Source organism: Homo sapiens, chromosome 3 (assembly GCF_000001405.40).
Source record: "Homo sapiens chromosome 3, GRCh38.p14 Primary Assembly".
NCBI lineage: Eukaryota > Metazoa > Chordata > Mammalia > Primates > Hominidae > Homo > Homo sapiens.
Genome location: NC_000003.12, coordinates 46,895,011 through 46,907,975, shown reverse-complemented (window position 1 = coordinate 46,907,975; position 12,965 = coordinate 46,895,011). Strand labels below are relative to the sequence as shown.

Genomic DNA, 12,965 nt, shown 5'->3' with positions numbered 1-12,965 from the left:
ATACACAGACATACACAATACATATAAATACACACAGATAGACATACGTACACCAGCACAGAAACATAGACACATACACACACACACATACACATAACAGACAGATATACAAATAGACACAGATACACACACACAAATAGACACACATACAGAAATACACAAATAGACATACAAATGCACACACACACACAAATACACACATAGACACACTGGTACACAAACCTACAACCACACACGCATAGACATGCCAGAAGACACAGACACATACAAATGGACATACAGGCATATCCAGACACACACACATAGAAACACACATGGCCACACACACACACACACACACACAGGTACACAAGCACAGACACACATAGATAGGCACATGGACACTCGTGTACACAAACACAAAGAAATACACAAGCAGCACGCGCATACAAACGCTCGCACATGGAGAATGACACCCAACACGCCCCACTGTCTTGCTGATGTATGGATATGAGTTTGTTGTGGACAGGTTGTCTGACTGTGGCCTCCGGGCAAGCGCCAGTGTCCGGGCCATGCCAAGGCTGCTCCTGCCCTGCCTGTTAAAAACGCTGGAGCAAGAAGAATCCACCCTCACCTGGCCTCCATTGCCTGCATGCCCGTGGCACTGAAGAGGGAAGGAGCCGGTCATACACACAAGTACACAGACACATACAAATAGACACACACAAATACACATAGACAACAAATACACATGCAAATAGACATACACACAGACACACACATATAAATACACACACAGACATACACAAATAGACATATTTGAGGCTAAGGGGGAGGTCCTTAGGCTGTCACGCCTGCCTGAGGGAAGGATAGGGGTCCTGTCCCTATCCTTGTTGAGGAGCGAGGTAGGATCCTGAGTCCACTCAGGTCATGAAGCCTGAGCAGGGGCTTGACCTGTGAAGAGAAGTTGAGGCTCAGAGAGGGAAGGTGGCTTGCCCAGAGCCACACAGCACACACCTGGAGCCAGCCAGGGCTCAGGCCCCTGCCTAGCTCTGGAGTAACTTCCTCCTCTGTCCCTCCCAGCCAGTGGGACCAGTCCCTCAGGCAAGGTTTGTTTCAGTTGGCCATGGCAGCCTTGGGCTGGGATCATTCTCCTGGAGTTGGCTGAGGAGGAACCAGGGACAGAGAGTTGTACCCCCTCACCCCAGCCCCCCGCAACGGGTCCCTGCAGCCAGACAGCTCTTCCAGGAATCCACGCAGAGACAATGCACTCTCAGATCCCCAGGATGGGTCCATGTCCCCTCAGACCCCCAGAGCAGGGCTGTGTCCTCCCAGATCCCAGGGAGGGAGGGGCAGGGTCATGTCCCTCTTGAACCTCCAGAGAACTCAGCCCCCTTTCCTGTCTGTCCACACCCCCTCTGGCCACCTCCCAGGGTGAGGGCTGAAGATTGTGGCCCCTCAGAGCCTGCCCACTCCAGGCACTTGGGGCCCAGCTCAGTCCTTGCTCTCGACAGGGACTGGCAGGTGGTGGGTGGCAGAGCTCGACCCTATTCTGAGCTGGGAGCTTTGCATCCACTCAGCTTCCCCTTGAGGCTAGGCCTGTGTTCCAGGGCTGGACGAGCACCCCCGGGAGGTCCATTCCTTCCAAGGGCCTTCAGCGATTCTTCTCGCAGCCTGGGCTGAGGGAGACAGGCCAGCGAGGGATGGGGCCGTCCACGTGCTCAAGACAGGTGGGAGCAGAAACTGGCCACTGTACTGGCCTGCCTTGGAGTCTGGGGCAGCCTGCAAGGTGCCGGATCCCATAGCCAAGTGGGCTGAGGATTTGGGGTCTCTAGGTGCCCTCCACCCTGCTGACCACCCCGCCCAGCTCTGCTAATGTTTACGTGTTCCCTGTGGCTTGGCTTTGCTGTGGGGCCTTGAAGGGAGAAGTGACCACCTGGATCCAGCCCCTGCTCAAGGCAAACAGGGTCCTGCCTGCCTGCCAGGCCTGCTGAGGGCTCCACTTCCACTGCCAATACCTGGATGGCCCAGGTGGGGCTCTGAGGCCTCTCTGAGTGGAGGCCAGCCCTGGCCTGGGGGCTCCTAGTCTAAGGGAAGAGAACTGGTCCTAGCCTAGGGGACTTGGACTGAGGTGAGAGGTCCAGTTCTGTCTTGGACATCCAGACTGAGGGGAAAAATGGTGCCTAGTCTAAAGGGGGAGGCCTGGCACTGCCCTGGGTGCAGATATCCTCAGGGCAGGGCAGTCCTCCTCTTAGAGGCATCCAGCTGGTGTGGGATGCCCGGCCCTGGCCTGGGGACACCAAACCTGAGATGGGGGTACCCAGTATGTCCTGGGGGCATTAGTTCAAAGGGGAAGGACAGCCCTATCTGGAGGGGAGTTCCATCTAAAGGGAAGATGGAGACAAGTCTAATGGGGGTGACAGCCCTGTCTTGGGGTGACCCAGTAGGGCAGAGGAGAGGCGCACCTCTGCCCTGGGGGGCACCCTGCCTGAGACAGAGGCTCAGCCCTGACCTTGGGGTACTCAGACTGAGTGGGGAGACACAGCCCTGTCCTGGGGTGTGGGTGGGGATTGGGGCTCCCTGGTTGTAGGAAGAGACCAAACCCTGTCCTAGAGGGAATCCAATCTGAGAGGAGAGGCCCACCTCCACCTGGGGGGGCACCCAGTCTGAGGGGGAAGCCACAGCCCTGTTGCGGGGTGCCCAGTCTGAATGCTTCTAGGTGAGTGGGCCTCATTGGCTTATTACTTCAGAAACCTCAGTTCAGACCCTAGAGAGTGGCATCGGACATCCCTGGGGAGGAGGATGAGGGTCTGCCCTGCTGAGGTCTCCTTCCCCCAGCTAACTCTTGCTGCCCTCCCTGTCACCATCTCCCTGCGAGGCCACCCGCCTCCTGCCAGGCCACCTCTTCTCCAACCCCTGTGCAGCCTCCTCTCGTCTCCACATTGCTGTGGGGACTTTTTAAACATTCAGACCTTGTTGCTCTCCCTCTTGAACTTCCAGTGGCTCCCAGCCTGGCTCTGCAGCCCTTCAAGACTGGCCTATGCCTCCCTCAACCATTGCATGGAGCTCCACGGGTGCACCAGGCCCTTGGACAGCCTTTGGTCCTGTCCGTCATCTGGAAGGGCAGGCAGGGCTGGGTGTGGGGCTGCTCAGCAGGCACCCACACCTCCTAACGCCCACCTGAGTTTTTTGTCTTGGGCCTCCTGACCCCTCCCCTATGCCCTATGGGGTGTGTGTGGGCTGCTGGAGATGAGGTGCACTCCTGGATGCCGAGTCCGTGGAGAAGAGTAAGACGGGCTGAGCGGGAGATGGGAAGGCAGGGCAGGGCTCGTGCGGGGCTGTCTTTAGGCTGGAGCAAGAGCAAGAAGCTCGTTCAGGCCAGAGCCCGGGGTGGGCATGCTGTAGGGTCAGTCCTCAGGGTGTCGGGCTGAGGGGCTCTGTGCCACTCTGGGGCCCACGAATGGCCCAAGGTGGGAGAGGGCACGGTCCGGGGGGGTGAGTAAGGTGGTAGGTGGGTGTCAGGTGAGGACACTTAGTGACTGTCCCAGATGCATAGTGAATGGATGTGTCCCACCTTGCAGGCCCCTGCCCAGCCAGCCCTCTGGGCTCAGACTCCTGGCTCCCCACAAGTCCTGAGCCAGAGCAGGGACCCAGCCCACCCTTCACCTGCTGGCCTGGTGCTCCTACTGCAACCTCAGTCACAGAGGCATGTCAGGTCACGGGTGGATGCTAAGGCTCCTGCGTGGAGGGCTCCCTGAGTGGCCACTGGACAGCCAGGAAAGGTCCATTCTGTGGCAGGGCCGTAGGCTTGGGGGTGTGGCCAGGGACCCGAGGGATCTGCCAGCAGCCCTGGGTGGCAGTGATGGGGGCAGCAGTCAGAAGAGTTGGCCCAGAGGAGCCTGGGTCCCCCATGGGGTCTAGGTACAAGTGTGGAGAGCAGCTCCACAGCTGGCAGCAACGGAGGCTGAGGCTGGATTTCCACATGGGTCCACTTGGCTGCTGTGTGACCCCTGCAGACTTGAGCCACTCTGGGCCCTTTCTGCTGGATACCACAGGCCCCAGATCCCTCCCCATTCTGAAGTGAGACCTGAGGATTCCTCCATGACTCATGGCCCTCCCGCCACAGCTTTCCCTGGCTCCCAGCCCCACCCTCTCGGAGTGAGTCCCCAGTTTGGGCCACAGGAAGCCACACACCGCTTCCTTTTCCTTTTTCTTTTTTTTTTCTTTTTTTCCCTGTTTTTCCTCTTGGCCCCAGCCCTGAGTGGGAAATCATTCAACCACCCATCTTTTGGTCCATCTGTCCATCCACTATGTCAGCAGGTCCAGCCCCCAGCGCCTGGTCACATGACTGTCTCCCACTCTTCCTGTAGCAGGGCAGGTGGCCGCTCAGGCCCAGAGGCCTCCTCGTCCAGGCCTGAGCAGGAGCCGTTGAGGAACCCATCGTCCTTGGGAGCAGCCATGGCAGGTGGTGTGGTCTCGAGGGTCTCCAGGGCTGGGGTCCCTGGCTTGGCATGGCCAGGCAGCTGAGGGTGGCCGTTGGTGGTGGCAGTGGGCAGTAGGCGGGGGCTGAGGGGCAGGCCGAGTCCCACACGGGGGCCGACATTGGTCACACTTGTGTGGGACACCATGGGGCCGTAGCTATAGCTGCTGCTCCCGCTGCGTGCCTTTCGCTTGAAGTCCAGTGCCAGTGTCCAGCGGCTCCAAGATTTCTTGATCTCAGCTTGTACCTTGGGGCAGTAAGGGTGCGGCAGTCAGGTGTGTCTCCCAACCCCAGCGATGCCCCATCCCGGCCCCTGGACACCCAGCACGGAATGAAAATGGGAATAGGGGACTCCTGGGAAACTCCAAGGCCAAGTGAAATCCCATCCTCACAACAGGGTGTTTGGCTACAGGCAGCCGACACACCCAGAATCTACAAGGCTCAAATTGCCCCAAAGGTGGCTGAGTCCTCCAATCTGGGTCACAGATAATTGAACCATGGGGCTGGGAAGACACTTGGCTATGCCAGTGACTGAAGAGTCCCCACATCCTAGCACATCCTGAACCTGCATCATCTGGAAAGACTTCTCTGCTTTCAGAATGTCCTCAGGGGTGTTCTTGGAGGAACAAAGAAATAACAGGGTGGAAGAATGGAGAAATGAGCCTTGAGGAAGCCTCTGGGGTATCTGCCCCACCCTGCCCTATGCCAACACTGTCTCCTGCTTACCTCGCCATTGCAGAAACAGTATATGATTGCGACAAAAAATCCCTGTGAAGAGGGGTGTCTCGAATCAGGCCTGCCCCCGGAACCCCTCCCACCCTCAGCCAGGCCCGGGCCAGCACTGCGCACCTGGAAGGAGTTGAAGAGCATCTCATAGTGCATCTGGACTTGCCAGAGCGTCCCTGAGACCTCGGTGTATGGTGTGGCCATGAAGACAATGTAGTGGACGCCAAAGAGGGGCATGAGCACCAGCGTGGATTTGAGCAGCTTCCTGGGCCAGCGGGGCAGGTAGGTCAGGGCCAAGCCACTTCCCCTTCAACAAGCATTGTGCCACCCCCCACCCTGCGAGCCCCAGGCTCCGGAAGCTCAAAGGGGCCCAGGGCTCCAGTCACCATGGGAGGACAACCCAGTTCACCTGCATGGCTGCTGTCCTGGCTAAGTGCTAATAGGGCCCGTTGGTTCTCAGCGGTGTCCCGGAGCGGACTTCAAATGACAGTCCCCCTGTCCCTGGGCCCTTCGCACCTGTGGAGCCCTCAGCTGGCAAGCACTCCCCTCCACGGTCGAACCTCACTATCCCACAGTCCGCTCCTCAGGTTTCAGCTGAGCTGCAGCCTTCCCGGGGCCACTCACCGCCTACCTGTTCCTCAGACCCCCTGCAACCAACTCTTTGAGGAGAGGTTCAAGTTCGTTGCACACTCACAGACTCCAGCTCTAGTGCAGGGCCTGGTACAAGTGGGCAGGCTGGCTTTGGGGTGCCCTAGGGCCTCCCATCACTGCTGGGCAGGCCAGGTGGGTGAGGACAGCCAGGGAGTCAGACGCTGGGTCCTTTCCCTTGCCCCAGGATCATTCATGGGGCCACTGTCTTTCCTGGGGTACATGGTACCAGGACTCAGGGACCCCTGAGGAGCCAGGGCATGGCAGGCATGGTGGGCTCACCGGTACTGCTGCCGTGTGTCACACCGGCCGGCGTTGGTCTCCCGCAGCTTGGTGGCGAGCACCCGGACGATATTGATGAAGAGGATGAAGTTGAGCTGTGGGAGTGAGGGGGCTGCGTCTGGAGGCTGCACCCTAGTGGGGCGGGGCAAGGCCTGGCAGCCACGGCCATAGGCTCTGCTCTGTCACTGCATCTCTGGGTGGCTCCTTGAGCCCTTGGTTTTCCTTTCTGGGCTGGAGTGTGGATCAGCTGGTCCTCCGGCCTCTGTAGCTCTGACACTGGGGTCCAGGGAAGCCTCCTAGGTCCCTGTCAGGGGCTGGTTCCAGGGGACGCAGGCGCACATCCCACCCACCCCTGTGGCCAGCAGCCCACCCCTGCTCACCACAATGGAGGCCAGGATGGGCACCTGGATGATCCACTTTTTGTTCCCGGAGCTCAAGTCCCAGCACCTGGGGGAGGTTGAGGCATTAGCTCCCATCCCTCCTGTTCCCATCCTAAGACTGCCCACAGAGACCCAGATTTGGTCTGGTCTGACATTAGCTGTTGAGGACACAGGGCAGGGGTGCTGGGTGTGGCCAGGCCTGAGGCCTCCCTCACAGGCCTCTTTGGAAGTAGCCTCCTGTGACCCTGAGGGTGCTCCTGGCTTGAGGCTGGACTGAGAACTCCTGAGGCTGGGCCGTTTGAGGCCAGGGTACAGGAGGCCCTCTCACATGCTTCCTGGAAGAAAAGGGACCCAGGGGTGCTTCTTGCCTGGGCCCCTTCTCCACCTGGACCTACCCGGTGTTGGCCAGGGTAGCTCTGACACTGACCCACACAGCCACGAAGACAGCGGGCAGACCTGTGGGCACAGAGGGGGACAGTGTGCAGGACTGTGGCTGCTGTCCACAAGGTCATTCCCCCCTCATCCTCGATGACCCCCAGCTTACCCCACCATTGCCCTGAACCCCTGACACTGGGCACTTGGTCCACTTGGTGACAGAGCCACACTCTGCCATGTGGTGCCCTAACAGCTTCCCCTTGGGGCTCCAGCCCTCAAAACCCAGCTCAGCCTCTGCCCTCATCTTGGCTCCATGTCATATGCACATATATGGGGTACAAGGCATAATATAATAATAAGGTATCACTAACTGATCCATGCCCTGTCCACTCCCTCTGCAGAGGGCACTGCTTTGGACTTGCAGCTCCCATGGGGAGACAGCCTATTTTCCGCATTTTTTTTTGCCCCAGCACAGCACCCCCCACAACCTGGTTTGAAAGGTCCTAGCCCTCGTGGATGAGACTGGATGGGGTGAGAGGTTTTGTCCCAAGCAGAGGCCACAGGGAGACCTCGGTGTGTCAGTATGTCCTGGCCTGCGCCAGCTCAAGGGGCACATGGTATATTTGGGTGAGCTGTGCCTCTGGGAAGGGAGCCCCAGGTCCTCCCCGACCACATACCACCAACTTGACTCTAGGCCTGGTACACCCTTGGAGGGATAGGGTATGACCTGGCTTTACGGTAAGAAAAAGAGCTGTGACATTCCTGTGCCCCAGGATTCTATGCACTCCCAATCTGCATGTCGCCAGTCCACTAGGACACCTCCTAGCCCCAGAGCCTGCATCTGTTCCTGGGACTGGGCCCAGGTCTCCCCAACTCTGGGGCTTGTCATGGTGAGGTCAGGGTCAGGATGTATGTCGAGGGGCAGGGAGGCGGTGGCTGTTGACCTGTGGGCCTCTGGGTGCTGAGTGCAGAGAGGGCTCCAGCCACCCGGCCCACCCCTCTGCAGTCTGGCCAGTTGTCCCGGAGCCCAGCCAAGCTCTGCAGCTGCCAACAATAATGGACAATTATCGGTAACTGGATCCCAGAGCCTGTGGGGGGCTGGGAGGAGTGCGCAGCTCCAGCAACCCATTCTGCAGAGGTGCTGTGAAGCTCAGGTGATGCTGAGGTGCTGGGCCCACGGCTCTGGGCCATGGACCCCGCAGGCCTGCTGAGGCTGGCAATGGTGTGGGCAGCCCCGCGCCCCATCCCAGCAAGGGGACTGGTGGGGTAATAGATGCTGGCCTAGTCCATGGGGCTCAGGGTAGAGGGAGGGTCCCGGATCCCAATTCCAGCCCCAGGCTGACCTCTGACCCAGTATCCTACTCTGATCCTGAGCTGAATCTTGGCCTGATGGTTCCTCCTTTCCCTCTCCTGGGCCGAGCCTCAATTCAGGTGAATCTAACCTCAGGTGAACCTGATCCCTGGCCAAGCCCTGCTGTTTCCTGAGCCTGGAATAGGGTCAGGATCACAGAAGGGCGGCAGGCCTCTCTCCTGCTGTTCCACTTGGGGCGGGATGTGCTGTGTGGGCGCCTCCCCCCAGGGGCTGCCCTCTCCCTGTCACCCACGGTCCCACCCCTGCCGGCACCTCGCTACCCGCTGTGCCCGCGTACCCCAGCCGAAGACTGTGAAGCCCCACAGGTACTTCTTCTCTGAGAAGAAGGCCATGAAGATGAGGCTGTGCAGGTACAGCCCCTCCACCAGAATCCAGTAGTAGTTGGTGGCCAGGAAGTAAAGGAAGAAGGTCACAGCCACCCTGCAGCCCGCCTAAGAGACCAGCTGGTGTTAGTCAGAGGGCAGGGCCTGCCTCCGGGAAGTCAGGGCTGGGCTGGGGGGCTGGGGCGGCAGGAGAGGACAAGTGGTGCCGGCCAAACAGGCCAGGAAGGGGCAGGCTTCGTTTGGGGGGCTCTCTCAGGGGGATGCGGTGTCAGGGGCAGGAGGCAAAGTGAAGAGGTAGAGTGGCTAGAGGGTACTGGGTTGAGGTAGGAGCCTTGATGGCAGCGCGGGGCGTGTGGGACACTCGGAGCCCTTGGCAGCAGGGTCGGCGGCAGAGCTGAGGGTTGCGAGGGACCCTATAAGACGGGTTTGAGTGGCTGAAGCCAGTGGCGCTGGCAGGAGGCGGGCAGGGCGAGGGCCGGGCTGGAGCGGGGCGGGGCGGGGCCCCACGAGGCCAGTGGCGGCACCGGGAGCGGGCGGGCAGAGGGGTACTCACGTAGCCGGCAGCGGCGGTGGCAGGCGGCGGGGGCGCCTGGGCGATGGCGCGCAGCTCCTCCTCGGTGAGGCGCTCAGCCTCATCAAGCGTGGCGCCAGAGTAGAGCACAGCGTCCTTGACGAAGATGCTCACGGCGCGCAGCATGAAGGACAGGAACAGGTGCATGTGGATGTAGTTGCGCGTGCAGTGCAGCCGCCTGCGGGGCGCGCGACATGACCGTGGGTGGGGGCACGGGGACGCGCGGTGGGTGGACAGGAAGCTGGGTTGTGCGCCGTAGGTAGGGACACCCGCCGGGGGTGATGGGTGCAGGGAGGGGGTCGCATCAGACCTCGGCCACCGCCCCCCCTCCACCATGTCCCGCCGCCTCTCGCCCCGCCCCGCCCACCTAAAGTAGGCCAGGATGAGCACAGCTACGGTGAGGGACGCCAGGGACACGGAGTAGCCCACGGTGTAAATCATGCCCAGGCGGTCAAACACCTCCTGTGCGGGGCGGGGGGAGACACAGTCAGAGCCCTGGGACCCAGGGAGAGCATCAGGGTAAGAGCAAGAGGCCAGGGTAAGGTTGCTGGAGGAGTCAAGGTCAGGGGTCAGGGCTGGGTCAGGGGTCACCCGTGGGGTGGGAGTGAATTTATCCTGGTCAGGTTGGGGAGGAGAAAGGCTCGCACCCGTTCACGAGTCTCATTGGTGAGAAATTTGACACACTCGCTGTAGTTGGCCCACGTCCTGTTGTGCCCAGGCACCAGCTCCCAGCTGCCATTGCGGTCACAGCGTCGGTAGGCATGGCCTGCAGGTCCATGGGAGGTCAGGGCCGGCAGGGAGGTCTCGAGGCACTGAACCCCTAGCTCCAAGTCTCAGCCTCCTTGTAATCCCCACCCCTTCCAGCAGGCCTCACCTTTGTGATTGAAGTCATAAATGTAGTCCGGACAGGGCACAGCCACCACCTCACCTGGTGCCCCCAGCGGCCAGCACAGGATGTGGTCCCATTCCGGCAGACAGGGGCGCCCTGTGCCCAGAGACAGACAGGGTAGGGGATACCAAGGGAGAGTCAAGGCCATGATTAGTGACCCAGAAGGATGAATACATCTGTGGTTTGTTTGTTTTTGTTTTTGTTTTGTTTTGTTTTTTTGAGACGGAGTTTCGCTTTTGTTGCTCAGGCTGGAGGGCAATGGCGTGATCTCAGCTCACTGCAACCTCCGCCTCCCAGGTTCAAGCGATTCTCCTGCCTCAGCCTCCCGAGTAGCTGGGATTACAGGCATGCGCCACCATGCCTGGCTAATTTTGTATTTTTAGTAGAGATGGGGTTTCTCCATGTTGGTCAGGCTGGTCTCAAACTCCTGACCTCAGGTGATCTGCCTGCCTCGGCCTCCCAAAGTGCTGGGATTACAGGCATGAGCCACTGCACCCGGCCCATCAGTGGTTGTTGGTTCCTGCAGGGACAGGTGTGCCCCAAGCAGGAAAATTCAGGCTTTGGAGCACTCTGGAGAAAATGTATTTCTGTGGGCTGTACCCACCTCATAGAATTTACTATGGCCTCTGCGATACAGGTACTGGCACTGGCCCCATTTTCCAGATGGGCTGACAGAGGCCAAGAGAGGTAGGCAACTTGCTGAGGTCATACAACACAGGGCCCTGTCCTCTTCAAGTGCTCAGCCCCAGGCCAGGCCTCTCGCCTTTCTCTCTGCTCTTGGAACCACCTTCCAGGTGTCTCTGAAGAAGGGCAAGTACCCAGACTAACTCTCCCTCAGCTGGGAGGCTCCCTGTGTGCCCCTTCCCCTGGGATCATGGACAGGAGGCAGGAGGTCTGGTTTCTAGTGCCAGCTGGACTCCAAGGAGCTGCTGACCTCACGCAGGTGTCCCAAGTCTTTCTATTTCCATTTCCTCATTGGGAAGTTGGGATTAACCACATTGGCCCATGCTTCTACCACCACTCAATGCCTGCCCTGAGTACCTGCTGTGAGACTCCCACGGCCACTGCTGGGGGAGATCGATTCCCCAAATCTAAGTGCTAATGGTGGGATTCAAAGTAGGGTGACATCCCACTTTGGAGCCCCAGCCTCACTGCAGGGAGGCTAAGTGACCTTGGAGGGTCCCCAGCCTCTGTATCTTCCACATTCCACTCCCAGCTTGCAGCCCCCTTCTCTCCCTCTGTAGGGCTCCAACCACAGGACTCTCCAGCCACCCTGGAAGGCTGCCTTGATGGCTGGACCCGCCCTGGCTTGGTGAAAGGCTCTCTGTCCTGGGCGCCATATTCCCAGCCCCACCCAGCCAGGCCCACAATTCCCTCTGGTCCCCAGGGAGCCACAGGGTGACCACAGCCTCCCAGATGTGGCCCATCTGGAATCTGCTGCCCACCCGGCCGGCTGAAACCGGCCCTGTGGCCAAAGCCTGGGCTCTGTCTGCCTTTCCTCATCTGCTTCCCTCCCTTCTCTTCTCCCCTCCTTGTCCCACTGCCTCTGGCCCCACCCTCTGCCACTGCCCTCCTCTCCTTCTCTATTTCTGTGGCCCTATCCACTATGTGTCCCCATGTACCTCCTCTGACACACTGAGCCCAGACTTCAGTGTGTGCCTCCTGGTCCCCTCTATCTCTGTGACTGTCTCTCCCTGCCTCTGTTGATCTCTGTCTCCATGCCTCTCCCCGTCTTTCTCTGTCACTATCTGTCTGTCTTTGTGTATCTCTCCCTGCCTCTCTGTCCCCCAGGGTTCTCTGTCATCTCTCTTTCTCTCCATGGGTGGGACCGTAGCCCTGGGTCCACTCTTGGTGTGGTGCTGGAGAGTTCTCTGTTCATCTCTTTCTGAGGCCTGAGCCATCTAGCTCCCCTTCCTTCCCACTACACTCTGTCTTCTCCCAGCCCCTTGCCTGGGGATGTGGCTGCAGCCTTTTACTTTCTATAAGAGCCAAGAAGCATGAGCTCACATCAGAGGGACAGTGCAATGGGGGTGGGTGGATCCAAGCCCATGCCAGCTGGATGCATGGAAGCAGAGACGTACCTCGGTACCTGCTGCCAGTGGGTGCCTCCTTGTCCTCCTCAGACTCAGGGTAGAGCTTCCCAGATGCCTTATCTTTCCTGGGCTTCCCTGATGTGGACGCAGATGTCCATCCCTTGTCTGATTCCATTATGCTGGCTGGAGAAACCAGGGTGGTAATGATGGCTGTCAGCTGTGCTACAACAGGAGACCCAGGGTACTCTTTGGCCTCAGACTCCCCCTTTGTACAATGGGGGGGTTGTCTCCTGCCCTGGTGACACCTAGGCTGTTGGGAGATCTGAGACGATGGGTGAGGAGGTGTTTAACAAAGTGTAAAGTGCTTGCCAGGTGAAGTAATAAGAGGAGGTGGAGATTGTCCCCCAGGGTTGGAATGGGAGTGCAGGATCAGCTAGTGGGGTGAGCACTAAACTGGGCAAGACAGAGCAGAGGTGGTATCCTCCCACCCAGGAGTCAGGAGTGGGTGGGGGCCAAGGCCACGCAGCAGTGAAGGCCCCACCAGGGGGCGCACGGTGAAAGCAGACAGAGTGGGTGATGTCAATGGACAGGTTACATAGCGAAAATTAAGTCTGGCCTGAGTGCTGTGCAGGTAAAGAAGCTGGTGGTGAGAAGACAAGAGCAAGGTGGTACAGTCAAGAGTGGACAGAGAAGACCACCCCATCCCCTGCCCTGGATCCTCAAGTATGTGGTTCACAGCTTCCACAGTGGCCGTTGAGATGCCTAATCTGAGATGGAGCCTGGCCTCTCTTCTCATTGGAGAGATGCTGGACGTTTTTTTTTTTTGTTTGTTTGTTTTTTTTGTTTTTTTTTTTGAGACAAGGTCTCCCTCTATCGCCCAGCCTGGAGTGCAGTGACATGATCACAA

General features: G+C 59.1%; 1 protein-coding gene across 8 annotated transcripts in view, besides 1 other annotated feature; it reads right to left on the bottom strand.

The window, feature by feature from the left end:
• Positions 4,177 to 12,965, bottom strand: part of PTH1R (parathyroid hormone 1 receptor) — a 26,079-nt gene continuing 17,290 nt past the window's right edge. For 4 of the 8 annotated variants that reach the window (XM_011533967.4, XM_011533968.3, XM_047448632.1 and 1 more), the window contains 12 exons: positions 12,107 to 12,280; positions 10,011 to 10,121; positions 9,784 to 9,902; positions 9,504 to 9,598; positions 9,119 to 9,314; positions 8,520 to 8,673; positions 6,891 to 6,951; positions 6,496 to 6,562; positions 6,116 to 6,210; positions 5,309 to 5,450; positions 5,186 to 5,227; positions 4,177 to 4,706 (listed from right to left, as the gene is read on the bottom strand). In XM_011533967.4, the coding sequence (XP_011532269.1) occupies positions 4,320 to 4,706; positions 5,186 to 5,227; positions 5,309 to 5,450; positions 6,116 to 6,210; positions 6,496 to 6,562; positions 6,891 to 6,951; positions 8,520 to 8,673; positions 9,119 to 9,314; positions 9,504 to 9,598; positions 9,784 to 9,902; positions 10,011 to 10,121; positions 12,107 to 12,280 (1,643 nt within the window). In that variant the 3' untranslated portion in view covers positions 4,177 to 4,319. The remainder of the gene's footprint in view (positions 4,707 to 5,185; positions 5,228 to 5,308; positions 5,451 to 6,115; positions 6,211 to 6,495; positions 6,563 to 6,890; positions 6,952 to 8,519; positions 8,674 to 9,118; positions 9,315 to 9,503; positions 9,599 to 9,783; positions 9,903 to 10,010; positions 10,122 to 12,106; positions 12,281 to 12,965) is intronic. The other 4 variants (NM_000316.3, NM_001184744.1, XM_017006934.2 and 1 more) reach the window with 3 other exon arrangements.
• Positions 10,040 to 10,109: a silencer, noted in NCBI's record as "silent region_14297". NCBI's record gives its function as "represses an Ori minimal core promoter by ATAC-STARR-seq in GM12878 lymphoblastoid cells {active_cell/tissue: GM12878}" and the evidence as "EXISTENCE:reporter gene assay evidence [ECO:0000049][PMID:35858748]".